Raw genomic sequence first — 26,245 nt, 5'->3', positions numbered from 1 at the left:
ACAACTAGATCACAAAGAAAAATCTAATATATGCAGTCTCTTTTATTTTAATAATTTCAATGTTATTAACCATGTGAATCTTCACAGTGTATTCTTCATGAAATCTGTCATGATTCTGTGCTATTTATTTATATCTCTAATTGTTTCCAGTCATCCATCAAAATCATTCAAGACCACTCATGCCATAAATCAAGTATACTCTTTTTTTTTTTTTTTTTTTTTTGAGACGGAGTCTGGCTCTGTCGCTGGAGTGCAGTGACGCAATCTCGGCTCACTGCAAGCTCCGCCTCCCAGGTTCACGCCATTCTCCTGCCTCAGCCTCCTGAGTAGCTACGCCCAGCTAATTTTTTGTATTTTTAGTAGAGGCGGGGTTTCACCGTGTTAGGCAGGATGGTCTCGATCTCCTGACCTCGTGATCCACCTGCCTCGGCCTCCCAAAGTGCTGGGATTACAAGCGTGAGCCACCGCGCCCGGCCAAATCAAGTATACTTTTAAATTGAGTAAGATGAAGGGCCTGATCAGAGATAATCTTGAACTAATTTAATAATCTCTTCTGCTTGTTGTTCAATTGAACCATTAAACAATAGATTAAGAATCAATATGTTTCTATACCGGCTTAAAAAAAAAAACTGAGTTGAGGATAAAAACAAGAGAACTACCTGGGCAATTTCCAAGTGTTTTAGAATGCATTTTTTTTAATGCTCCCTAAGCATAACACATAGCACATGGCAAATATTTAGCAGTTAGATTTAATGGTGAATTATCCTGACAGCTGAATCCAGGAATTCATGGGAGTATCCTTTGTTTCTGTCACAATCCGTTTCTCTGTTGTGTTATTTACCAAGCTACATTCTGATTCCCATTTGTTTTTCTAAAGTTTCCCTGCTGGAGAGAAAATGCCTTGCTTGCCAAGTGTAACTTTTATCTCTGATAGAGATGACTCCTACTGTACATAAGCCATCACTCTTATTTGCCCACAGTAGTGTTTGGAATATTATTGCTGTCATACACCTCTGCTCACATCATCAATATGTCTTAATTAATACATCACTGCCTGCTTGCCACCCATTATGCACACACACTTACCAAACAACCTCTGATGGGTGACGGCCTCTATCCACAGCAGGATGAATTGCCATTGCTTGAATTGATTTGGAAAATCACTTAGTATAGGAGGGAACTGATCTGCCACAGTAACTTGAAACCCTCCTCTACTCTCCTGCTCCTTTATTTGGTTGTAGACTTATTCCTACCTGGCAACACGACACTTGATTTGGAGACCATGGTAGTACTTTAATGATATATGAGAGGACTGATTCACAATTTTAACTAATAAAGCATCCTGTACACAACTAGTGACCAAAGCCATGGAAATATAGACCCATATATTGAATTTACAGGACATTAACAAGAAATAAGCTCTGGGCAAAAATAACTGTCTATTCAGAACTAAGAGTCTGCCCAGAAAAGAATGTATTGGAGAGAGAAAGTGCACTTCTTACTCTTTCCTAAGCAGCATGGCATGCCTGAATAGATGTAAAGTGATAGAGCGGTGTCAAGTTGACCTTTTGTAAAATCTAGATAAAAGAAGTCCTAGAGCAACGTGCACAGGAAGTAAATTTACAGCCTGGGTCAGAGTGAACGGGGTGGCTGGGCTGAAGGAAAAAGGAACAAGGAACCCACAGCAGTGGATTCTCCTCTTGAAACAAGGAGAGCTCTGAAAAATTTCCTAAGCTGTAAAGGAAACAACTCTTGCCTCTCTCGTTTGCATCCCCTTTTTCATCCGTGCTTACATTCCAGGCCAGCCATGAAGCCTCGAGGGAGGAAATGCTCTCACACCTCCCTACAGGTAGCCTGACTATGCAGCTGTGTTGTTCACACCGTCTTGCCGTGGTGAAGCCCCAAGAATCTCTCTGCAGGTGTGGGAGCTGGGGAGACTCTGCTGCTCCATATTTTGGCAAGCAGGGAATAGAATTGTATTAAAGCAAGCATTTTTCCCCCATAATAAAGAGTTTCTAAAGTCACTGAAAGTACAGTATCCCCCAGCCCCATATCTTGGCAGGCAGGGAATAGAATTGTATTAAGGCAAGAATTTTTTTCCCCCATAATAAAGAGTATCTAGAGTCACTGAAAGTACAGTATTCAAAGACTAGGTTTATATATCCAAGATTGGTATCTCATCAGAGACTATAAATTGTTTACACTGTTGAAAGTTCCCATTTTTACAACTTCTTCTGTTTTATTACCCTGCTTGTTTGCATGGTAAATATGGATTCAGTGGAATCTTATCTTCTTCCAGAACACTAATACAATTCATCACTTCTATTCAGACTCCATTAATTCAGAATTTGTGATTATACCACTAGAGTTTGGTTGATGCTTATTTTTGTATTATTTATTAAAAGAGGATATACTAGGCAAATTCAGAACAGAAATGAGAGGACAAGGGGGAAGATTTAGCATAGTTAAGAGGAAACACTTTTCAAGACCCTTAATAGCACTTATTTGCATTTAAACAATTAATGGAATAATTACAATCAAGCCATCTCATTAATTAAAGAAAACCCAGCAGGATCTTTATTTGGCAACAGTTTGTTAGCAGAGATTCTCTAAGTATCGACTCAAAGGAAAATTGATAGGAGATATGCCTCCTCCCAAATGCTAATTACCCCCTTTCAATCATCTTAAATGTTTCCCAAACATTGAAGTAATCATTCCAATAAGCTACAGCTAGCTGTACAAATTACTATGCAAATACGTGTCGGTCTGTCCCACAGGTAAGTTCCAGGTTCCTGCAATCTGTGGAGGCAGCCCTTAGCCTAGCAAAGCATGACAAGCTGGACCAGAAGGAAGGGTCTACTGCTGATCCAAGGGGCTTGAGATTCATTTCCACAGCCCTATCTTCACTAGTTCCTTGATCTGTATTTGCATATTCTGTTTTGATCCTTTTCATACTTCTACTAAAAGGTAGACCTATCCCAGTAGATAAGGCCTACTTGCCTCTTTCTCCTTGATACTGGCTTCTAAATAACTAATAAGCTACAAGTTTTGGGGAAGCAAAGGGCCAGCACATTGACTTCAATGGGTCAATGTCAAACACTGGGATCATTAATTTGGTCAGAGTGGGACGCTCAGAACAAAGTGCAGAAAAGGTGGTTTCCACTATGTCTCATTCATTCATTCAGCAGAGCCCAGGGGATAGAAGCATGGAGGGGTCTGCCATTTATGGAATGTGTGCAATTTAACTTAACCTCTCTGTGCCTCAGTTTTTTTTTTCTATAAAATTGGAATGAAAAATCCATTCTTAATAGGGTTGTCACCAGACTTTAAATGAATTAATATTTTTACAGTGCTTAGAACAGTGCCTGATACACAGAAATCGCTTTAACTCTGTTAAATAAAATAAGCCCACTCATTAAATATTTGCTGAGCCAGGTGCTCTTCTAAATGCTGGAATACAGAACTGAACAGAGTAAACATATCCATGTCCATTTGATGTTTCTAGTGGAAGCAAGCAGATAATATAATGAACAAGTACATTGGGATACAGAAAGATAGAGCATTGGAAGATAAGTGCTATAGAGAGTGATAAAAGAGGATGAAGGTGCTGGGAAGAGATGGAAGGTTTCCAGCTTTAAATAGGAGCAGGGTAGGCCTTTTGGAGCAAACTCTAAGTTATTAAGGGAGTCAAGCAGATATCTGATGAAAGAAGTTTCGAGACAGAAGGATCAGTTGGTGCAAAAACTCTGAGTGTGAATGAGGAACAAGGAGACCGGGCTGGCTGAAGTAGACTGGGTAAAAGGAGAGGGATAGGAGGTGAGGATATCTGGGAATGGCTGACTAGACTGTGTCCCTACATAGTTTTTAGGTCACTGTAAGAACTTTGGCTTTTACTCTGCAAGAAATGGGGAGTACATTCCAGGACAAAGGCCTTGGGCAGAAGTTTGGATTTGTGCTCTGACCACAGCTGCTCTCATCCCTCACCAGGTTTTGGTAGAGACAGAAGATCCTTCTGAAAGGAACTGGGCACCTGGAGATGATCCGAGGATCAGGGCATGGAAACTGGGACAAGACTCATAAGTGTGTCTATTCTAGGCAAGGGAATAGGAATGAGAATCTAAGCTAAGAACAAGGCATTCCCTGATGCATGCTAAAAGCAGAAGCTTGAAAATATAAATATATCATATCCTCATTAGACGATTTTCCATAATTATGAGAACTTTCAAGTGAATACTATTCTGCTCACTGCCAAGTGCCAACCCACAGCTACTCAGCCCTGGTCCTCAACGTGGCCATGAACGGACAAGTTTCCAAGAATGTCTTTGAGGAGATGAGAAACAATGTGAGATTTGGTATTGTTTACTGGCAATAAAGGAAAGAAAAACAGCAGATATGGGAAGAACCATCTTATATTTGATTTTTATATACTTTCCAAAATACATTTAAATGGGAATTCGGAACACTTGAATTTTTTTTTTTTTTTTTTTTTTTTTTTTTTTTTTTTGAGATGGAGTTTTGCTCTTGTCGCCCAGGCTGGAGTACAGTGGTGCAATCTCGGCTCACTGCAACCTTTGCCTCCCGGCTCAAGTGATTCTCCTGCCTCAGCCTCCTGAGTAGCTGGGATTACAAGTGTGTGCCACCATGCCCAGCTAATTTTTTTGTATTTTTAGTAGAGATGGGGTTTCGCCATGTTAGGCAGGCTTTTTTTGAACTCCTGACTTCAGGTGATCCGCCCACCTCAGCCTCCCAAAGTTCTGGGATTACAGGCGTGAGCCACCTCTCCCGGCTGAAGTGTTTTTATTTATAAGTTTGTAGAATGCTTGCTTATCTTGTTCAGCTGCTCAATTTCTTCTTGCTGGAAAATCTAGAGCATCAATTATGTTGCAACAGTTTTGGTAAAATTGCCATCCTTTTCTCCAATTTTGACAAATGTCTGGCTCGGATGTCTTTAGAATATGACAATAGAGAGAATTAGATCACTTTTCACTTTTTCTGGCATGTAAGCCAAAGCTGGGGAGTAGAGACTTTGAATTTATCTTATTTTCTGACTTTAGCACTGCGTGTAAAGGAGTGGCCATGAAGTGAGAATATTAATAAGGAAGTTAGGGACATAATACCTATCTTCCCGTGCCTCTCAATCAAATGTTGAGTGTTCAAAATATTAAGAAAAGCATGTGGCTTATAATTGATACTATTACTTAATTGAAATCTTTGAGTATTGAGGAGAGACACTGTGCTGGTGGGAAGGTGGGCAGTGGGATGACTATTGTCATGCAGAATGCACTGAACATTTATAGGCTAGGGCCTGATTCATACAACTTGAATGTCGTTATTTGCTTTGGTCACATTTTGTCTGTTGGAAAGTGAATCTCCTTGAATAATGTTTTTGTTCATCTGAAATGTCAGTCTTATAAAAAGCTGCTAGTCACTATAGTGGTTAGAAATTTCCATCTTATAATTAAAACAAAGTTGTTGGCAGTTGAAAGAAACATAAAACTGAATTCTGGCTCTGGCTAGAGTCAAATTATGTGAAGATTTTATTTTATTCCTCTATTTCTGAAGATTACTGAGTCAAGAGAAAGAGCAATCCCTCATTTCAGATGAATTTTTTTTTTCTTGGAGATTTTCCCAAGCAATTAATTCTTCTCTTTTGCCTTCCTGCCCTCATCTGCTGCAAACCCCAAACTTTGAGATCTACCTGTCTATCAACTATCTATCTATCTATCTATCTATCTATCTATCTATCATCTATCTATCTATCTATCGCTTTCAGTTGATGGCATATCAAGGGAGGTTCACATATGTGGGTAACCTAAGGTTATTTTTTTTTGTTTAATTACCTTGTCCTTTGAAATCATTCTGTCCTAATGATGCAGGTGCTTGTGTCAGTGGTTGAACTCCTATATTGATATTTGCTGCTCAGGTATTTGGCCAGGATTATTTATGCCAGAGGCTTAAGGGTAAGGACTGACTGCTTACAGTTCATAATAGCTTAGGTGTGTGGTTGTCAAGAGCAAGACATTCCCTTTGATGCGTTAAGAGGCAATTATGATTGGCCCAGTAATTATTGGAAAGAGAATTGACATTTGGGAGTGATGCTAGTATCCTGCAAACAATGATATTTATGTAGATAAAAAACCTAAACCTTCCAAGGTGCTCCATTTCTTGGAGAATTCCATCCCTTTGTCCTTTGAAAAAATTGGCAGTAGCAGGTTACTGCAATTACCCTAAAGATTTCTGGTTTTTTATCCTAGATTAGGTTTAAGAATGGTTCCCAGTGAGCTCTTTAAAATAATTAATATCAATAAGTCCTCAATGCAATGTTAATCCATAGCTCTTTCAAAGGAAGAAGACGCCATCCCCAATTTTGCTTCCATCATCCCAGAGCACCAGGACTTTGGATGAAGACTGCTGTAAGCTAATACTCTAACAAGTTAAATGCTAGCATTGAAAATGATGCAGGTGTTAGGCCATGTCCTGGGAAGGCATCTGATGAAATGCCTCAAGTCTAAATTTTGACAGAAGCACTGCTTTAAATGAAGGTTCCTAGGGGCTTAATACGAAAATGAAGTGTGTTAATATTGGGTCTGTTTCCAGAGTGTTTTGCTCATCATAATGGTGGCTACTATTTCCTTATCCATTTTTTTTCACTCTCCACCTCACGAGTTCCCTTCTTTTTCTCTACATAGCCATGATCTCCAAATCCAGACTCCCGTATCTCCTGGACTATAGATAAATATTTCCAGTACCTTCTGATGGTCCCCAAATGAATCAAATGTAATATATTTAAAACCAGCCTATCTCTCCTCTGAAATTGTCGAACACCATGTGTTCTTAGTCTTGGCTGATGTCATCACTATCTGACCATGCCCCAAAGTCAGAAAGTGCAGAAATCCTCACCTCCAGCCTCTCACCTCAAACACCACCCCTTGATGGCTTGGCCTCAGGAATGTTCTATGAATTCAGTTTTTCTTCTCCATCTTTTCTGCCTCTATTTTAGTCCTGATGCTCATGTAGCTTCTGGGCAATGCAGCAGCCTCCATTTCTTCCTGCCCTCCACTATTCCTTCTCCATTCCAGTTATTCCTCAAGACATAGTCAAAATTATCTTTCTCAAAACCAAATTTGATCAGATCAGGTCATTGTGCTACTTAAGGACCTCCTTTCCATTTCCAATCACTTACAACATAAAATTCAAATGACTGTACTCAGAAGAGTAGGTTCTTCTCTGTTTCAATCTTCCTTTGAGCTTCTGTTCATCTACCTGACCCCCATAAAATCTAGCCAGACTGACCAAGACCTTTGTGATGCTAGAACCACCTCAAATGTCTCCATCTATGGAAGCTTCCTTCAATTGCCAGTGGAAATGAGTCCCTTCCTCTCTTGTAACCAATTAGGCTTTCATTCTACTTACTTAGGTCCTCTCATTTAAGCATGAATGAAGTCAGGAATGAGCTAGGGCACTTAACTTAGAACTAGTGGGCACTCAAGAAATGCTTGGTTAATGCATTTTTTTTTCAGAGACAGAAACTCATTCTGTCACCCAGGCTGGTGTGCAGTGGCATGATCATAGCTCACTGCAGCCTTGAACTTCTGGGCTCAAGCAATCCTCCCACTTTAGCCTTCTGAGTAGCTAGGACTATAGGCATGTGCTAGATGAGGACTTACTGTGTTGCTCAGGCTGGTCTCGGGCTCTTGGCTTTAAGTGTTCCCCTTTCCTCAGCATTCCAAGTTGCTGGGATTATAGGCATAAGCCACTGTGTCCAGTTTATATTTAAACTGGACACAGTGCTTTAAAAGCAAAATATGTGTTAAAAGTGAAAAACAAAAGTATCATGTGAGGTCTGAGGAGGGATTGGTAACTATGTTTTAGTTTGACTAGGCTCAGTTGATCTAAAATGTTATAGGAAGCTGTTTGAAGACACTAGTCTTTTTTTTTGCATCTAGAGATCACTAGTGAATCATTCGGTTATTACTAAATTAGTTTTTAATTAAAATATGTTAGTGTTGAATAACTGGCTAGGTCTTTGCAGTAATTCTTGTTACATGATCTTATGCATTTTTAATGTTGGCTACAGACTCATGTTATACTATTATTCTTTAATGTGCATGATTATACTGCTTTGATATTAGATAAGCATATTTGCTTTAATAACATAAATGATTGATTAGCCCAGACTCAGAAGGGTAAGTGAATCTCAGAAAAAAATGAGGAAGAGTGAAAAAAAAGAGGCACAAAATGAGCGAATAATCACTTTATTTTAGACTTTGAAACTTGTGTTCCACATTACTTAATTACAGTTGCCTTTATAGATCTTCCAAATGAGTGAAAAATTGTTTTTGGAATTTAATACTGCTAAAATTGCAAGATTAATTGAAACCAGAGTATTTTAATGTCTCCATGGAGGCATTGAACCTATATACTAATTTATTAAAAAGCTTGCTATTAGTACAGGAGAGAAAAACCTGAATCTACTCATTCATTACATGAAGTTGACAGTTTTATCTTGCATCTCTTTTGCTCCAGGCACTGAATACCTATTTTGTTCTAGGCACTGGGGCTAAAGTGATGAACAAAACAATAAGGGTCCACTCTTAGGGAGCTTATGTTCTTATGTATAATAAAACCAATAATGAAAGACAATAACAAATAAGCCAGCAAACATCAAATAGTTATAAATTCTATAAAGACAATAAAACAGGAATACATGTGGAGAATCACTGCTGGCTTCCTTAGATTGAATGGTCAGGTTATTCACATAGGTATTGAGCACCTCTTGTATGATAAGTACTGTGATACATACTAGGAAATACATAGACTACTAACAAATAGTTCCTATTCTTATATAGTTTTCAATCTAACAGAAATAAAAGTATGTATGGAAACCAACAACTGTAGCAGAGTGTGATGAACACCGTTATAGACCATCCACTGCTACAGACCATTCCCTCTGAGCTGTGTTGAACCCCAGAACACAAGGGTAGGGAATGTAACAACTCCTGGAGAGTCAGGGTAAACTTTCAAGAAGAGAGCGAGCTGAGAATTAATAAATTGATAGGAATTACCAAGATGGTGAAGGGAAGTGGTAGAACTGGGTTTTTCAAATAGAAGGAACATTATTTTTAAAGGCACAGAGACAGTGTGCATGAAAAATATGAATGGTTTAGTATTGCTGGCATGTAGCACATGACTGTGTGTGTGTGTGTGCATGTGTGGGCACCTTTAAGGGAAATTGGTGCAGCAATTAGCCTAGAGATGTAGGAAAGATCAGGATGTGAGAAGCCTGTGTGTAGCAAGGTGTGATACTGTGAAATACACAGTATATTTGGTCTTCCTCCTTGTTTCCTGGCATACAACTCTTAAAATCCTTAGAATCTTCAAAGTGATAAGTGTCTTTTTGTATGAATTGACTGGTAGCTGGAAACCCCTAGGCAGCTTCAGGATGGAGGCTGGTCACCAGAAAGACCAAGACAGGGTTAGAGGGTTGGGACTTTTAATCCCACCACCCAACCTCCAAGGACGGGAAAGGGGCTGAATGTTAAGTTGATGATCAGTGGACAATGTCAATCATGTCTATGTAATGAAGCACCCTCCATAAAAATAAAAAAGGACAAGGTTTGAAGAATTTCTGTATAGCTGAACATCTGGAGGTTCCTGAAGGATGGTGTGCCCAGGAAGGGCATAGAATCTTGGCACCCCTTCCTACATAACCTTGCCCTATGCATCTCTTCATCTGTATCCTTTGTAATATCCTTTATAATAAGCTGGTAAATGAAATAAGTGTTTCCCTGAGTTCTGTGAGCCATTCCAGCAAATTAATTGAGCCCAAGGAGAAGGTCACGAGAACGCTGATCTATAGTTGATTGGTTGGAAGCATAGGTAAGAAAGCAAATCTAAAGCTTGCAATTGGCATCTGAAAGTTGGGGCAGTCTCATGGGACTGAGCCACAAGATCTGTGGGATCTGACTCTATCTCCAGGTAGGTGGTATCAGAACTGAATTGAATTAGAGGACACCCAGCTGGTGTCCACTCTAAAACTGATCGCTTGCTTTGCGTGTAGGGAAAAACCCCCACACATCTGGTGTAAGAAGTGTTCTGTATTGTGAGTGGACAGATAAAAGACTTTGTTTTTTCCTCTCTGATAAGGTAAAGAATTAAATCTTTTAATTCTAAAAAATATTTGGAATTTTACTCTGGGTTAAAAATAGGAAAAGACAGAATGATCCCAATGTTATAGGTGCTATGCACTGAGAAAATGTCAAAATACATAAATAAGTGAAAAAGAAAGCTTATAATTATTAAATCAGACTGTCTTATATTTTTAACAAAATATTGTTTGTGCTATAGTAATAGCTGTAAAATTTGTTTCTAACTTTAACACCATATAACATTGTTTTTCAATCTAAACTGCCTGATAGTTCCCTTTATTAAAATTTAGGCTAATTTTAAAAATTTGAACTTTTGATAAATAGGTTTGTAAAGCTTAAAGATTTCTTTAATATAGCTGGATAAAGGAGAGTAGAAAAGTTTGATTGGATGAAGAATACTCCAAACCATGTCCTGATGCAGGTTTTATCCTTTTATCCTTTTGATTTATGGGACCTAAGGATGATACCCGCCAAACTTAGTTTGTGTTGTTGATGTCTTTCACTGGAAAGGACTGCATTATCAATCAGAATATAGTGTGCTTTTGAATAGGCAGAATGGGTAAACTCTATCCACTGAAATATGGGCTTTCCTGCCACAATGCCATATATACATTGCTGGAAAACATAGTTTGGGGCAAGATTTCACACTAAAAAGAACAGGGCTTATGATAAAAATAGAATTCAACCAAACCACTCTAAACCTAGGAAACGTTGTAAACAGAGACCTAACGAAAACAATTCTAATAAGATAGAAGTACAATTAAAAAGGCATGTCAAATTCTAATAAGGAAATGCTGGAGTAATCTTGGCCTTCACTTAACATGTAGGTGAAGAGAGCTTGATGGACTGGGATGCTGGTAAATATTCAGGCTGCTGCATTATGGAGATAAGGTCACCCTGTCATATATCACAGGTAGACAGAGGTGTTGGCTTTGCATACAATGTGGTGATGCTAATGATGGATTACTTCTGTTCATCATCTATGTTTGTGTCTTCTGCACAAGACTGGGAAGATCTGTCTAAGTAACTTCCAAGGAAGAGCGAGTATCCAAAATAAAGAAGGTAGACATGGCAGTACTGCATTCCTTCAAGCTTGGTGCATTCAGATAGGCCAATGTGTTGTATGCTGAGCTGCTATTATATGAGAAAAATAATCTCTAACTTCTGTGTTACATTGACATCATTACTGTATGTACAATTTCATAAATTGTGGATGAGGTAACTTGCATTAGGGAAACTTAAGGTAGCAGATTGACTGTATTTGCATAATGCTCCACATTCTCCACCTGATTTAACTAGGAAAATAATTTTAAAGAATCATCACAGACAGCGATGGGGACTATATGAGTATCTCAGTGTACAGCTGTTATATAATGTATGCCATGCCTCTGGCTCACAGCATACCTGGTAGGTCCTTAGTGAATATTTGATGAGTGAATAAATGAATTAATGAATCAATGAACAGCTCAAGATTAAAAAAAAAACTGCAGAAGTGACTTAAGGAAATGTTTGTCCTCACAGTGTTGGGGTTTCGAAGGACACAGCTCGACCTCTATCCTAGAGGTCTCCATAGCTCTTTCTTGGACTCTACAAACTGACAAGCTTCCCAAACTCATCACACAGCCCACTTGCCTCACCCAGTTGTATGCGCATCCCTGCCTGGCTACAGTGACCCTGGGCATCCAATTCTCCACCGCTGTAGGCTATAGGTCAAGACCAGAAAGTGACTCAGAAAGGAGCCTATGGAAGAGAAACAGATGGGCTAACTGACAGGCAGAGAAACCTCCAGACTTATAGAGGTGTAATTAACTCACAAATTCTCCAGTCATTATTATCATTAAGTCAAAGAGGCAGGAATGCCCCCCGGCCCTTCTCTATTTCTGCATAACACTCCTCCAACATAATATGTTGGGATTTCTCTTTCTTTTGAGGTTGCATTTGATGTTATTCATACTTGATTTCACCTGATTTAAAAAATAACGTTCAGGAGAGTAAGGGGTGGGGAGTGAGAACCAGAGTGAGTCCTCCCTACTGCCCTGCACTCCTAGGGGTGGTCCTCTTTTACTTTCTACCCTTCTGGTCTCCCCTGAGAGCTGTTTTGGTCTGGAGTTTCCATTTCTTTGTTAAGACTCTTCTGCAGTGTTCTTTCATGAGGAGGGCTTTCCAGGTTTTCCCATGATGCTGAGACCTTGCGGCACTGAATCTCCCTAAATTAGTCTTCAGTGAGCCAAGGCTGGAGGGCCTGTAACACTTGCACAGTCTCTTTTCTGTTCTGCATTTTCCAGTAATGTTCTGTGTATTCATTGTGATTTATAGCCCTGGAGGGAGCCAGGTCTGCAGCGTTTTCATTGAATCCAGCCTGTAATGTTGTTTGTCAAGCTGCCATTTACAGCTTGGAAAATTTTTCTCTAATCTACTTTGCAGAGGCATGATGTGTCTTCTCACTTTAGTTGTAACCCCTGGTGTGTATACCTGCATGGGGAACAGTGGGACCTACCCTATTGCTTCCAGCTTTTGGTTTTGTGCAGTACCAAAGCAATACTCAATAAATGGGCATGATCAGTAGTAACCTATATTGAAAATAGTTTTTGATCATCTCATTTGTAATCTCCAAGATAAAAAAATGACTTAGAGATAGACCTATTTTCTTGTGTGGATATGTCCTAAAGTGGGAACTTAAAAAATGATGAATTAACCTATTTCTCTCTCATCTTCTAATTTAGTAATTTCACCATGATTTCAAGGTTATTTTCTTCTGGAATCAGTCAGAGGTTGTAGAAAATACCATACTGTGGACAATGAATTCTTCCAGGGCAGGGCGATGCCTTATTCATTTTTGGGACTCCAGACCCCAGCACAGGGGCTAAAATGTAGGAAGCATTTAATATATATTTGAGTTAAAATTGCATGAGTTAAGGGACTGGAGCTGGAGAAATTAGAAGAGGAAGTAAGCAGAACCCAGGGAAATATATGAAAATCTATAGAAATCCACAGGATCAGAGACCAAGTGGGAAATCCAGAGTTGGGATATGTAGGCCAGAGCAAGATGGCAGGTCTCAATCAATCAGAGAGGCAGTAAGCAAATGGGAACCACAGACAAAGCAAACCATGTCTGGCAGGAGGCAGGTAACCTGCAGCTATGTAGTAACTGAAGGGGCAGAATACTTCTAATCTGCTGAGGAAAGCCCTCCCAGAAATTTCTGTGAGGCACAAACCAATTATACAGGACTTACAGTTTTGGTTTAACCTGTAAGTTCTCTATATTGTTCTAGTCCATGCCCTTTCGCTATTCATGCTGCCTCTGTTTGGTTTAGGGCTCTATTGTGTTTTACTTGAATAACTTCACCTGCTTCCTAAATGTCCCCCATCCTATTACTCTCTGCTCTAGTCCATTCTAAAGTCAGGTCCTGCATATTGTCTGAATTTTGGTGCCATATCCATGATTCCATGAACATGTCAATATTAGTGTTATATAATTAAATGGGCCATCTCCTTTCATTTACTGATGATTTGCCACCAACTATTACTGTATTAAGTGGTGTCACTGAGTCAGCTTTGGATTCTCTTCTCAGGAAATTTACAGTTCAACTGGTGCCTCATTTTCTCCACTTCTCCCAACCCTGGCTTACCCTCCTTCAGTTGCTCATCTTCTTGCCCTTCCTTGTCTCACCAGGTATGCTCCTGTCTAAAGCTTATGTCCTTGAAGCTCTATCTGCCTGGCATTTTCTTTTCCCTAATCTTTGCATGCCTCATCGCCTCATTCCATTCAAGTCTCTGCCACCCATTTCAGTGGACTTCTCTAAACATACTATCTAAACTTTCCTTCATTACCTATTCCTTTTTCTTGCTTTCCTTTTATTTGTAATATCTAATATATTGATTTTCCTGTTTGTTTATTCTAGGTCTTCCACAAAAACATTAGCTCCATGAGAACAGAGATTTTGGCTGTTTTGTTCATTGCTATCTCCTCAGCTCTTAAAAAAGAATGCCTCATCCTTATTGGGTACTGCATACATCTTGTTGAATAAATGAATAATGGAGAAGATACAATGTCAAGTAGACAGGACTGAGGAAAGTTAGAGGAAAGAAAGTTTATTTCAGGAAGGAGGAGGTATTTGGTCCAGGTTTCAAATGATGGAAATGATCACAGCATGGAAAGATAGTAAGGGAAGGGTGTTTTTCCTTCTACTGACAAACATTTTGACTTATTTTCCAGTAACCCTGTAAAATTTATCATACTACCTTGTTTCTCTTTCTCTCTCCATCAGATATACTTTTGTGAAGCTCAAAAGGGCATAAGAGCTAAACATCAGTGTGGACCTGGTTGAATATGGCTCATTTATAGCTCTAAGGATGTCTGCTGGGTAGCCTGTCAAGTCTTGAAACAAAGTTGTACAGAGTTTGGTAGCATAGCCTGGACCACTTGGTTAGACATCAATGTTTGCATAAAAATATGGAAAATTCTTTCCTTCCTTAATTGTAGATAGAGGCATGGTCTTTTTCAGGCACAATCATTATCTTTAGCTTCAAAAATTCTTTCCTCTAATATCTGAAATACTTTTTATGGGGCAACTTACTATGTTATTATCCTTCTGTTAAGGTTCAGTGTAGGTGTTTAACTATTCCTGCTTTTTTCTTTTCAGTCATCGGCAGATTGATGAGGGTCGTTAGTCTCTGTGAATCATTTTAGAGTTTATTTGCATTTTTCCTTGATGAAAGAAAAGCAAAGGAAAATAACTGCAGTTTTCAATGTTCATTGGGATATTCTGAGAGCTTTCTGCAGTAAATTATAGGGATGTGATAAATCTAAAGAAGCATTGCTCATTCCTCACATCTGATTGCTTCATATCTCATACTGCGTTACTGCCTTTACAAACATAAGATTTAATATCCTCGAATGGATTCTTATCCTTACACTCTGTTATCCTCTCTTACAATATTTAATACCAGAAGTTTTAAATGTAAAGACTACTGTCATCTCATTCTGTATCAAACCCTTACAATTTCATGTGCAAACCTTTCTACTTTGCAAGGACCAGTAAATGTGCTTGTGGCTGATTTTTCCCTCCCCCGTTAATACTGGTATATAGGAAGTGGCAATGATGTCTCTAATTCTTCAATACCATGTTATATATATATAGTGAATATTTATATAGCAATTAAAAATGCATGTGCCCGCATTAAAAAGAAAACAAACATGTAACAAATTATGTAGCTGTTATTACCTTTCCAAGGGGATGCTTCACTTTACAAAAGAATTCCCTATAGATTTTCTTTAAATAGTAAGCTCCACTAGTACATTTAAGATATAATTAGACCTGCCTAAATTGAGTTTGTACACAATTCAGGAGCAGAGTCACTGTGCAGGGAAACAATAAACCCATGTTTACTTTGCTACCTGAAGCATAAGGAGAAAATATGCATATGTAGAAGCTGTCAAACATCTGGATGTTTGGGAAAGCCTGGATAGAGTACTCATCCAGATGCTGAGCACGATCCATTTGTAGTTTGGAGTCTTTCTAACACAGCAGGAGGGTACAGGAGCAAATATACTGAGACAGGCTCTGTCTTGCTAAAATTGATAGTGGCATTCCTTTTACTGCTTATGGGTGGGCACTTTTAGAAATGATAACCTGCAATAAGAATTTTGCAAATAATATGCATCACTTTCATCAAATGGAGTTCTCTTTTCTCAACATGATGGACAATTTTCATCTAAAAACTTAAAATAAATACTTTAAAATTAATCTGGATGGCAAGAAGTTCTTTAACAGAGAGGAAATGCACTCCAGACAGTATTGTTCTCAAAAAGGTGGGAAATACAATGCTAAAACCTACAACCTTTGGCTAATGAAATCAAAACAAACCAAACAAAACTTACCACAATAGTCTAACCTGGAAATAGGAGAACTCACTTCAACAGCATGATACTCACCTGAGCAAAGTGAACTGGGGCTAGAAGATGAACTTTTACACTTGACTATTTACCCCATGAATCAGGCTCTTGAATATTTGCAAAACAGAATTTAGAATTCTCAGTACAAAGAACTTCTAGTGGTCTGAATTGATATACCCATTTGTGATAACTTGGTAAGTGGAACTCTTTATGAAAGCACAGCATCCTAAGTAAAAGTGTTGTAAGCCTTATTTGGCATATATGGAACAAAAAGAAGCCTTAGACATGAGCACTTCATTGGGTACTGGCAAATGCATTTTGGTAGACTTGTCAGCCTTGAAAGAAGCAAGAGAATGAGAGGCAGCGGGATGCTCTGAAGACAGCCCAGTCTTTTCCTCAGCCAGGCCTAAGCTGGAATCTTGGCTATTTTACACTTGGTGTGTTATCTTGCACAACTTATTTAGCTATTTGTGAAAATGGGAGGGGATACTTACATTGCCAGTTTTATTTTTCTAGTAAGAAATCAATGAGCCTAATAAATGAAGGGTACTTAAAAAATGCTGGCTCCCTTTCATTTTTGATGGAATCACCAAATATAGGAAATTAACACCAGCTTTTAACTGTCCCTGGAATGTGGACACACAGTTTCATACACGTTCTTGAGTTCACAAATTTTATCACCAGGGTGATGGCAGAGCAAGCAAGTCCATCAGATCTGGAGTTATTCCTGCCCAATGTTTCACTCAGTAGATGCAGACATCGAGAGAAGAGATATAAAGCCACAAGCACTGTCATCAGACGTATTTACTAAAATGCTTCAACAATTGAAATCAGTTTCATTAGCCACCAGAAATAAGTGGCTATTGTGAACACATGCTGCATGCCGAATGTGTACCACTGAGTCACTTTTAGAGAACATGTTTATGTAGCAAGCTTCCATAATTAACAGTGATTGCGGTGAGAAAACTCTTACACAGATACTTGTTTTCTATTATAAAATATAATATTTCCTTAAGTGTAGCATTTTCAAATGTTCCACAGTTCACCTGTACTTGTGTCCCTATGAGGTCTCCATTAAACATGGAAGATCCCATGATGATCATATTTGCTATCTTTCCAAGAGTTTTCTTTCTGTTGGGCCCAGTCCTAAGCACTTGAATTTATCTAATTTTCACATCAGCCTTATGAAGTAGGCTATATCATTAACCACTTTTTTTTTGAGTTTTAAATTTCATTTAATTTTTTTTAATTTTTAGTTTTATTTTAAGTTCCGGGGTACACGTGCAGGATGTGCAGGTTTGTTACATAGGTAAATGTGTGCCATGGTGGTTTGCTGCATCTATCAACCCATCACTTAGGTATTAAGCCCAGCGTGTATTAGCTATTTTTCCTAATGCTCATTTAATCTTTTAAAAGATTTTTCTCAATTTTTTTATTGTGGTAAAATATATGTAATATAAAATTTACAGTTTAACCATTTTAAAGTATGGTTCAGTGTGGTATTAAATACATTCGTAATGTTACAGAACCATCCCCACCACCCATCTCCCTAACTCTTTTCTTCTTGTAATGCTGAAACTCTTCATCTATTAAACAATAACTCACTATTCCCTGATCCCTACAGCCCCTGGCAACAACCATTCCACTTTGTCTCTATACTTTTTTGACTATTCTAGGTATCTCACTCATATAAGTGGAATCATACATTATTTTTCTTTTTGTGGCTGGCTTATTTCACTTGGCATAATGTCCCCAACATTAATCCATGTTGAAGCATATGTCAAAATTTCCTTCTTTTTAAGGGTGAATACTTTTTTTGTATGTATATGCCATATTTTGCTTATCCGTTCACTTGTCAGTATACACTTGGGTCGTTTCCACATTCTGGCTATTGTGAACAATGCTGCTATGAACATGGGTGTACACATCTCTTTGAGACCTTGCCGTCAGTGTTTTTGGCATACATCCAGAAGTGGAATTGCTGCATCATGTAATTCTATTTTTTATTTTTTTGAGGAAAAAAAGCTGTATTGTTTTCCATAGTGGCTATAGCATTTCACAGTCCCACCAATTGTGAACAAGGATTCCATTTTCCCACATCCTCACCAACATTTGTTATTTTCTGTTTCTGTGATAGTAGCCATCCTAACGGGTGTGAGGTGGTACTCAGTGTAGTTTTGATTTGCACTTCCCTAATGATTAATAATGTTGAGCATCTTTTCATGTGCTTATTGGCCACTTGTACCTCTTTTTTTTTTGAGAAATGTTTATTCAAGTCCTTTGCTCATTTTTTGAATTAGGTTGTTTTTGTTGTTGAGTTTCAGAAATTCTCTACATAGTCCAGATATTAACCCCTTCTCAGGTATGTTATTTGCAGATATTTTCTCTCATTCTGTGTGTTGCCTTTTTTCTCTGTTGATACTGTCTTCTGATGCACAAACATTTTAAATTTTTATGAAGTTCAGTTTCTCTGTTTTTTTCTTTTGTTGCCTACACCTTTGGTGTTATGTCCAAGAAATCACTGACAAATCCAATGTCATGAAGTTTTTGCCTTATGTTTTCTTCTAACAATGTTATAGTTTTAGGTCTTTAAGGCATTTCAAGTTAATTTTTGTGTATTGTCTTAGGTAAGGGTCCAGCTTCATTCTTTCACATGTGGATATCTAATATTTCCATCACCATTTGTTGAAAAGACTGCCCTTTCCCCACTGAATGGTCAAAAATCATTTGACCGTAAGTGTGTGGGTTTATTTCTGGACTTTCTATTCTATTCCATGGGTCTAAATGTTGGTCTTTATGCCTATATATAACATAAAATTTACAGCTTAATCATTTTATAGTTCAGTGTATTAAATACATTCATAATGTTACAGGAAACTACATCATGATTGATTACTGTAGCTTAAATACATTCATAATGTTATAGGAAACTACCTCATGATTGATTACTGTAGCTTTGTAGTAGTAAGTTTTAAAATAAAAAATTATAAGTCCTCCAGCTTTGTTCTTTACTTTCAAAATAGTTTGGGCAATTTGGGGGTCCTTTAAAATTCTATATGAATTCTAGGATGGGTTTTTCTATTTCTGCAAGAAACATCATTGGGATTTTGATAGGAATTGCATTGAATCTGTAGATCACTTTGGACATGTTAACAATATTAAGTTCTCAAAACTATGGACAGGGAATGAGTTTCCATTTATTTATGTCTTATTAATTTATTTCAGCAATGTTATTGTAGTTTTCATTGTACAAGTTCTTCATCTCCTTGGTTAAGTTAATTCCTAAGTATTTTTTGATATTATTATAAATGGAATTGTTTTCATAGTTTCCTTTCTAAATTCTTCATTGTTGGTAAAATGCAACTCATTTTTGTATATTGACTTTGCATCCTGCTACTTTGCTGAATTCATTTATTATTTCTTACAGTCTTTTTTTTTTTTTTAAATCTTCAGGGGTTCCTACATATAAGATCACATCATCTGTATACAGGGATAATTTTACTTACTTTTTCAGTTGGGATGCCTTTTGTTTCTTTTATTTAATAGTTGCCTAATTGCTCTAGCTAGCAATTAGTACAGCCGTCTAGTACTTTGTTGAATAGGGATGGCAAACACAGACATCCTTGCCTTCTTCCTGATCTTAGAGGAAAAGTTTTAGTCTTTCACCTTTGTGTATGATGTTGGCTGTAGGTTTTTCATATGTGGCTTTTATCATGTTGAGGTAGTTTTCTTCCATTCCTAGTTTGTGGAGTATATATATATATTTTAATCATAGAAGGGTACTGAATTTTTTCAAATGTTTTTTCTGGCTTCAATTGAGATAATTATGTGGCATCTTCCCTTCATTCTGTTAATGTGGCCTATAACACTGATCAATTTTTGTGTGTTGAATTATTCTTTCATTGAAGGACTAAATCCCCTTTGACCAAGGTGTATAATCCTCTTAATATTCTGGTAAATATACGAGCATTTTGTTGATGATTTTTACACTAATGTTCATAAGAAATAATGGTCTATGGTTTTCTTTTTCTTGTGTCTTTGGCATCAAAGTAATGCCTCATAGAATTAGTTAGGAAGTGTTGCTTCTTTTTTATATTTTTGGAATAGTTTCAGAAGGATTGATATTAGTTCTTTAAATGTTTGTTAGAATTCACTAGTGAAGCCATCAGATCCTGGGCTTCTTTGTTGTTGTTGAAAGATTTTTTATTACTGATTCAATCTCCTTACTAGTTATAGCACTATTCGGTTTCTATTTCTTTGTGATTTAGTCTTGGTAGGTTTTGTGTTTTCACGAATTTGTCCATTTCATCTAGATTTCCAATGTGTTGGCATACAATTGTTCACAGTACTCTCTTATTGTCCTTTTTATTTCTGTAGAATCAGTAGCAATATTCCCATTTCCATTTCTGATTCTATTAATTCGAGTATTCTTTTTTCTTAGTTCATCTATCTAAAGGTTTGTCTGTTTTGTCAACCTTTTCTAACAGCCAACTTTTGGTTTCATTGATTTTCTTTATTGTTTTTCTAGTCTTTATTTCATTTATCCATGTTTACTGTTTCCTTTGTTCTGGCTAGCTTGGGTCTACTGTATTCTTTTTTAGCTCCTTAAGTTGTAAAATGAAGTTGCTGATTTGAGATATTTCTTTTTTTAATGTAAGCATTTATAGCTATAATTTTTAATCTTAGCACAACTTTCACTGTGTCCCATAGGTTTTGGCAGGTTGCGTTTTGTTTTCATTAATTTCTAAGACTTATTTTTTGACCCATTGGTTGTTTAAAAGTATGCTGTTTAGGCTGGGCACAGTGGCTCACACCTGTAATCCCAGCACTTTGGGAGGCTGAGGTTGGTAGATCACTTGAGGTCAGGAGTTCAAGACCAGCCTGGCTAATATGGTGAAACCCTGCCTCTACTAAAAATGCAAAAATTAGCTGGGAGTGGTGGTGCGTGCCTGTAGTCCCAGCTACTCAGGAGGCTGAGAGGCAGGAGAATCTCTTGAACCTAGGAGGTCGAGGTTGCAATGAGCCAAGATCCCACCACTGTACTCCAGCCTGGGTGACAAAGTGAGGCTCTGTCTCAAGAAAAAAAAATAAAACAAAGGCATGCTGTTTAATTTTTGAATATTCCAGTTTTACTTCTGTTATTGATATTTAACTTCATCCCATTGTGGTTGGAAAAAATACTTTGTGTGGTATCCATCTTTGTGTGGTATCCATCTTTTAAAATTGTTGAGACTTAACTTGCGGGCTAACATAATGGCATATGAATAACATAAGAATGTTTATGTTATTGTTATTGGGTACAGTGTTCTGTATTATGTCTGTTAGTCCTAGTTGGTTTATTGTGTTAAGTCTTCTGTTTTCTTACTTATCTTCTGTTTGGTTGTTCTATCCATTATTGAGAGTAGGGTATTGAAGTCTACAACTATTGTTGTAGAACTATCCATTTCTCCCTTTAATTTTGTCAGTTTTGCTTCATGTATTTTATTACCTGTTATTAGGTGCATAAATGTTTATAATTATTACATCTTCTTGTTGTATTAAACCTTTTATTAATATATAATGCCCTTCTTTATCTCTTATAACTTTTTTGATTTAAAGTCTATTTTGTATGTTATTAGTATAGCCACCTCTGCTCTCTTTTGTTTACTATTTGCATAAAATATCTTTTCCACCCTTTTACTGTCAATGTATTTGTGTCTTTGAATCTAAAGTAAGTCTCTTGTACTAAGCATATACACAGTTGAATGATGTATTTTTATCAATTCTGCCAATCTCTGTCTTTTACTAGAAACTTTTATCCACTTACATTTAAAGTAATTAATGATAAGGAGACGCTTTCATCATTTTGCTCTTTGTTTTACATATACTTCATAGCTTTTTTTGTCTCTCATTTCCTGAATTGCTACCTTCTTTTGTGTTTAGTTCATTTTTTTTTTGTAGTGAAATGTTTGAATTCCTTTCTCACTTCTCCTTGTGTATATTCTATAGCTATTTTCTTTGTGGTTGCCATGGGAATTAAATTAACATCCTAAAGTTATAACACTCTAATTTGAATTTATACCAGTTTAACTTTAATGGCATACAAAAACTCTGCTCCTTTACATCTCTAGCCCTACACCTTTCAGTTATTAATGTCACATAATTACATCTTTATACACTGTATTCCAAAAAAGGAAAAAAGAAAAATGAAGGATGTGGGGAGGATCGTTTTAATCCCCTAGAAGTCACTTTTGCTGGTAGGGGAGGGGCTTACAGCAATGGGTGAAGGTGCAACAGCAATGGCTGCCACATTTTTTGTCTGCGCCTCTGTGATCAGAAGCAGCAATTAGTGATCCGAGGTCAGATTTCTGATATTTGGAGGACAGAGTTCTTTTTGCCCATCCTGGCTCTTATAAGCTGTGTTCAGGTCCCTCCTGGAACATGTGCACAGCTGCCTGCAATGGGCCTGGGCGTAGGGGATGGGTAGCTATCACTGTGCTAAGAGCTGAAATGGACAAAATTAACTGCAACTTACCATCTAAGCCTTCCTCTGTAAGTTGCAAACATTCAATAGATTCCAGAGTTCCATCCATTGAATTACATCAAATTCTGCCAGTGCAATTGTTGTTTAGGTGGGGAGACAGAATCCTGGTGATTCCTACTCTGTCTTTCTTCTAGAATCCTCCTATTCACTTTTAACAGATAAGACAACTAAGGCACAGTGGAGTGATTTTCCAAGTCGCACAGCTAAAATTGGACAGGAGTGAAATTTGAATTCATGGAGCCCGACTATAGTCTGTATCACATTCTTAAGTCTATGCTCCACTGCTTCTATGGAGAGAAATAAGGAACCTGGTTGTATAGGCTGAAATCTCAGTTCCCACAACTGAAAAGAATAAATGAGCAAATTAACACAGGTATTCATTTGGCTTGTAACCAAGGCAAGTTTGTGAAGTTACAAGTTTACAAGAGCGTTGGCAGTGCCATTCTGGATGGAAATGAGGGGAGACTTCCTTTTTGGATGTGGGATGGACAGCGAAAGTCCTTATGGGGGCCCCCAGGAGGCAAGCAAGAGATGTCTAAAGGGATGGCCTGCACCTAACACGCTGGTGCCCTCAAGGGAACAATTAGGTGGAAAAGAGTGAGTGTCAAAGAGGGCTCTGTCTACAAGCCAGGTTTGCCTGTAGTGTGCTCCCTGTCACAAGTGTCGGTGCCTTTCACTTGCACAGAAATAGAATTGTAGGAAATATCTGAACATATTTTAAAATGTTAAAAAAACCAAAAGGGATGGAAGTTATGAAAAAATACACAATCTTGATATAGGATTTACACATAGTTCTAAATGTACACCTCTGGTGTTGTCTTTATACATCAACAGTGTACACGAAAAGTGTACAAATGTGGATTTATTGTACATTTTTGCAAACATTTTATTTTATTTTATTCATATTTGAGATGGAGTCTTGCTCTGTTGCCCAGGCTGGAGTGCAGTGGTGCGATCCCGGTTCACTGCAACCTCCGCCTCCTGGGTTCAAGCTATTCTCTTGCCTCAGCCTCACAAATAGCTGGGATTACAGGTGTATGCCACCACACCCAGATAATTTTTGTGTTTTTTAGTAGAGACAGGCTTTCACTGTGTTGGCCAGGCTGGTATCAAACTCCTGACCTCAAGTGATCTGCCTGTCTTGGCCTCCCAAAGTGCTGGGATTACATGCATGAGTCACTGTGCCTGGTCTTGCAAGCATTTTAAAAGCCATTGCTTTTTACTATTTCAATGATAATCCTTCTTCTTCCTTTGGATGGTAATTCCTTCGATATGTCTCATCTTGGGAACTTTACTGCTAATCAGAATCGTGTTCTATGAGTTCTGTGACTTTGAAATCATAGTAACTGTCTCAAAAATACATGTTAAAAGGTAATAAATGAGACATTACTTAAATCATTAAGATTTGTCATCTTAATGATTGACTTTTCCAAATCTTCTACAAATGATTGAACTTTTATAATATACTATGTTAACTCATTGTGAAAAATAATTAAAATATTAATGCTTTCCTAATTTATTCATTGCTAAAGAAAAAGTAAAAGACAGTATTTGAATTTTTGTGTCCAGATAAAAAGATTTTGGAGAAAACATTGGTGAAGAATTTCATCTGTGAATCTTAGCTCTGCAATGCAGTCTGCATATTTCTAGGTAGGTTTTGAGAATATACTTTGACAATGTATCACTATAGTACAAAGATAGTAGGATTAACAAACCCTCTCCCTATGGAAAGCCTTGTTGCAACAGGTTTCTGCGAATATATATCTGTAGCACTAACCACATTGCTCAAAACAAAGGCCTCATCTGCATAGAGGAACTCATTTCCACCTTGCTAAATCAGAAAGCATTCAAGACTGACATCTACATTTTTATTTTCTACTAAATGCACTCTAGTTACTAAACTCTGATCCATTGTTCACTATTTAACAGGTTTTAAAAGTCAAGATACTAATCAGTTTTAGACTTTGTGATTACATGGGTTTCTTTGGACTATTTAGAAATTCATTAGCAATGACAGAATTTATATTTCAGAGGTTTGGAGGATATAAATCTAACATTTTGGATTTTTGACCTGGCTCTGGAAGAAATCTTTTCATGAGATTCCTAATGATTGATTTATTCCTAATATTGGTCATGCAGTAGATCCAGTTTTTTGTTTCCAAGTTTAAAAATCAGATTTATATTTTCAGTCTAAAATTCCTGGTTGTAGTTCCATATGTGGACCTAAAAGCCAGCTATACCTTAGCCCTTGGGCTCAGATCATTTGTGTTATCAAAAGGGCAGACAAGGTTAAAAGCCTACTTTCTACCCAAAGGGAAAGCTTGCAAATGGAACAGATCTCTGATGTGCTCTTTGGTCTATCTGTTCTCTACCTTGGGCTTTGAAACGGTAACCTTAACATGAGCAATATGCTGCTGGAGCACAATTTGTATGCAAATGAATTGAGAGAGATTTATTACAGATTCAAAATGAGGTCTCCCTGATATTGCACAGAAAGACTTGATGATGTCTTAGCAACCTTGAGTACAAACTAGCCATCTGAAAGCAAAGGTAGGAAAAGCATCTGCCCCCTCTCTCAGGTTATATGAGTTGAAATCTTTCAGTTTCCACCTTCGTGGTAGTAACAATTTTTTCATATTCAATATTTATTGCTGTAACATAACCAACCTCTGCTTATTAGGGCACATAAACCATCTTACCGTTTTCCTCCCCCTGCTTCTGTATACCCCTAGGCTTTACAGAAACAGTGAGCTGTTCCAGTTTGTAGTTCATTCAAATAGCTCTAAGACTGTCAAATCTGATAATTTTGGACAAAGTGAGTGGGTCAAAATAGTTGAAAATGAACCAAACTTTCAATCAGATGTGATTAGAGTGTACAGTGCTATAGTTTAGTTGTAATAGAAAGTATGAGAGCTTAAAAGGCTCAGAATAATTCTGATAAAAATATCTTGGGGTCTTTTTCCATTTTAAAGTGAATTGAGCAATTCTGTGTGGTTGAGGATTGACAGCATAATGGAAACAGAGCAAACTGCAGAATTTATCACCAGGTAACTGCATTAGCAGCAAAACTCATAATGCAGTCTGTTGGTTGAAAAGAGCATGAAGGAGCCTTCTATTTTCTTATGAGGTGCCATATGTTCATAGTTCTTGGCCAATTATATTTAGCTACTGCCAAATTACAGTTATTGGAAAATGCTCTCTACTCTATAGTCTTTCACAATATAATGAGAGGCCTCATAGATACTGATTCTTCTTATATAATTTGTTTATTAGCATAGATAAACATACTTAAAACTGCTTTCTAATATTGCCTTCTATTTATGATATATCTACAACACAAGATATTGCTGTGTAATAGCAATCCTGAACATTTCTATATATTTCTAAGGATTGACTACATGTTAAATTGGTGGGCAAATGTTTCAGTAATCTTTGACATTTTTATATTTCTCAGTAACTCTTTTTTAGATAGGATTTTTTTGTAGGATAAGATGCATAGTATAAATGTTATAGGCAGTTCTTATACAACATTCATGTACGTTCTTGTTCATGTTTCACTTACCAGGATCAAGAGGCAACTTGAGGCCAATTTTGTGTGCTCAGGGATGGTAGAAAACACTGACAAAATCAAGCAACCAAAGACAAGGAGAAAACTGTAAAACAACAAAAAGAGAAATC

General features: G+C 37.5%; 1 protein-coding gene across 9 annotated transcripts in view; it reads right to left on the bottom strand.

Moving 5' to 3' along the window:
* KCNQ5 (potassium voltage-gated channel subfamily Q member 5) overlaps positions 1–26,245 on the bottom strand; it is a 576,790-nt gene that overhangs the window by 168,726 nt on the left and 381,819 nt on the right. For all 9 annotated transcript variants that reach the window (NM_001160133.2, NM_019842.4, NM_001160134.2 and 6 more), the window contains exon 2: positions 26,130–26,220. In NM_001160133.2, coding sequence (NP_001153605.1) covers positions 26,130–26,220 — 91 coding nt within the window. The remainder of the gene's footprint in view (positions 1–26,129; positions 26,221–26,245) is intronic.

Source organism: Homo sapiens, chromosome 6 (genome assembly GCF_000001405.40).
Source record: "Homo sapiens chromosome 6, GRCh38.p14 Primary Assembly".
Classification (NCBI taxonomy): Eukaryota; Metazoa; Chordata; class Mammalia; order Primates; family Hominidae; genus Homo; species Homo sapiens.
The sequence above is the reverse complement of the archived record's forward strand: the minus strand, read 5'-3'. Positions and strand labels throughout refer to the sequence as shown.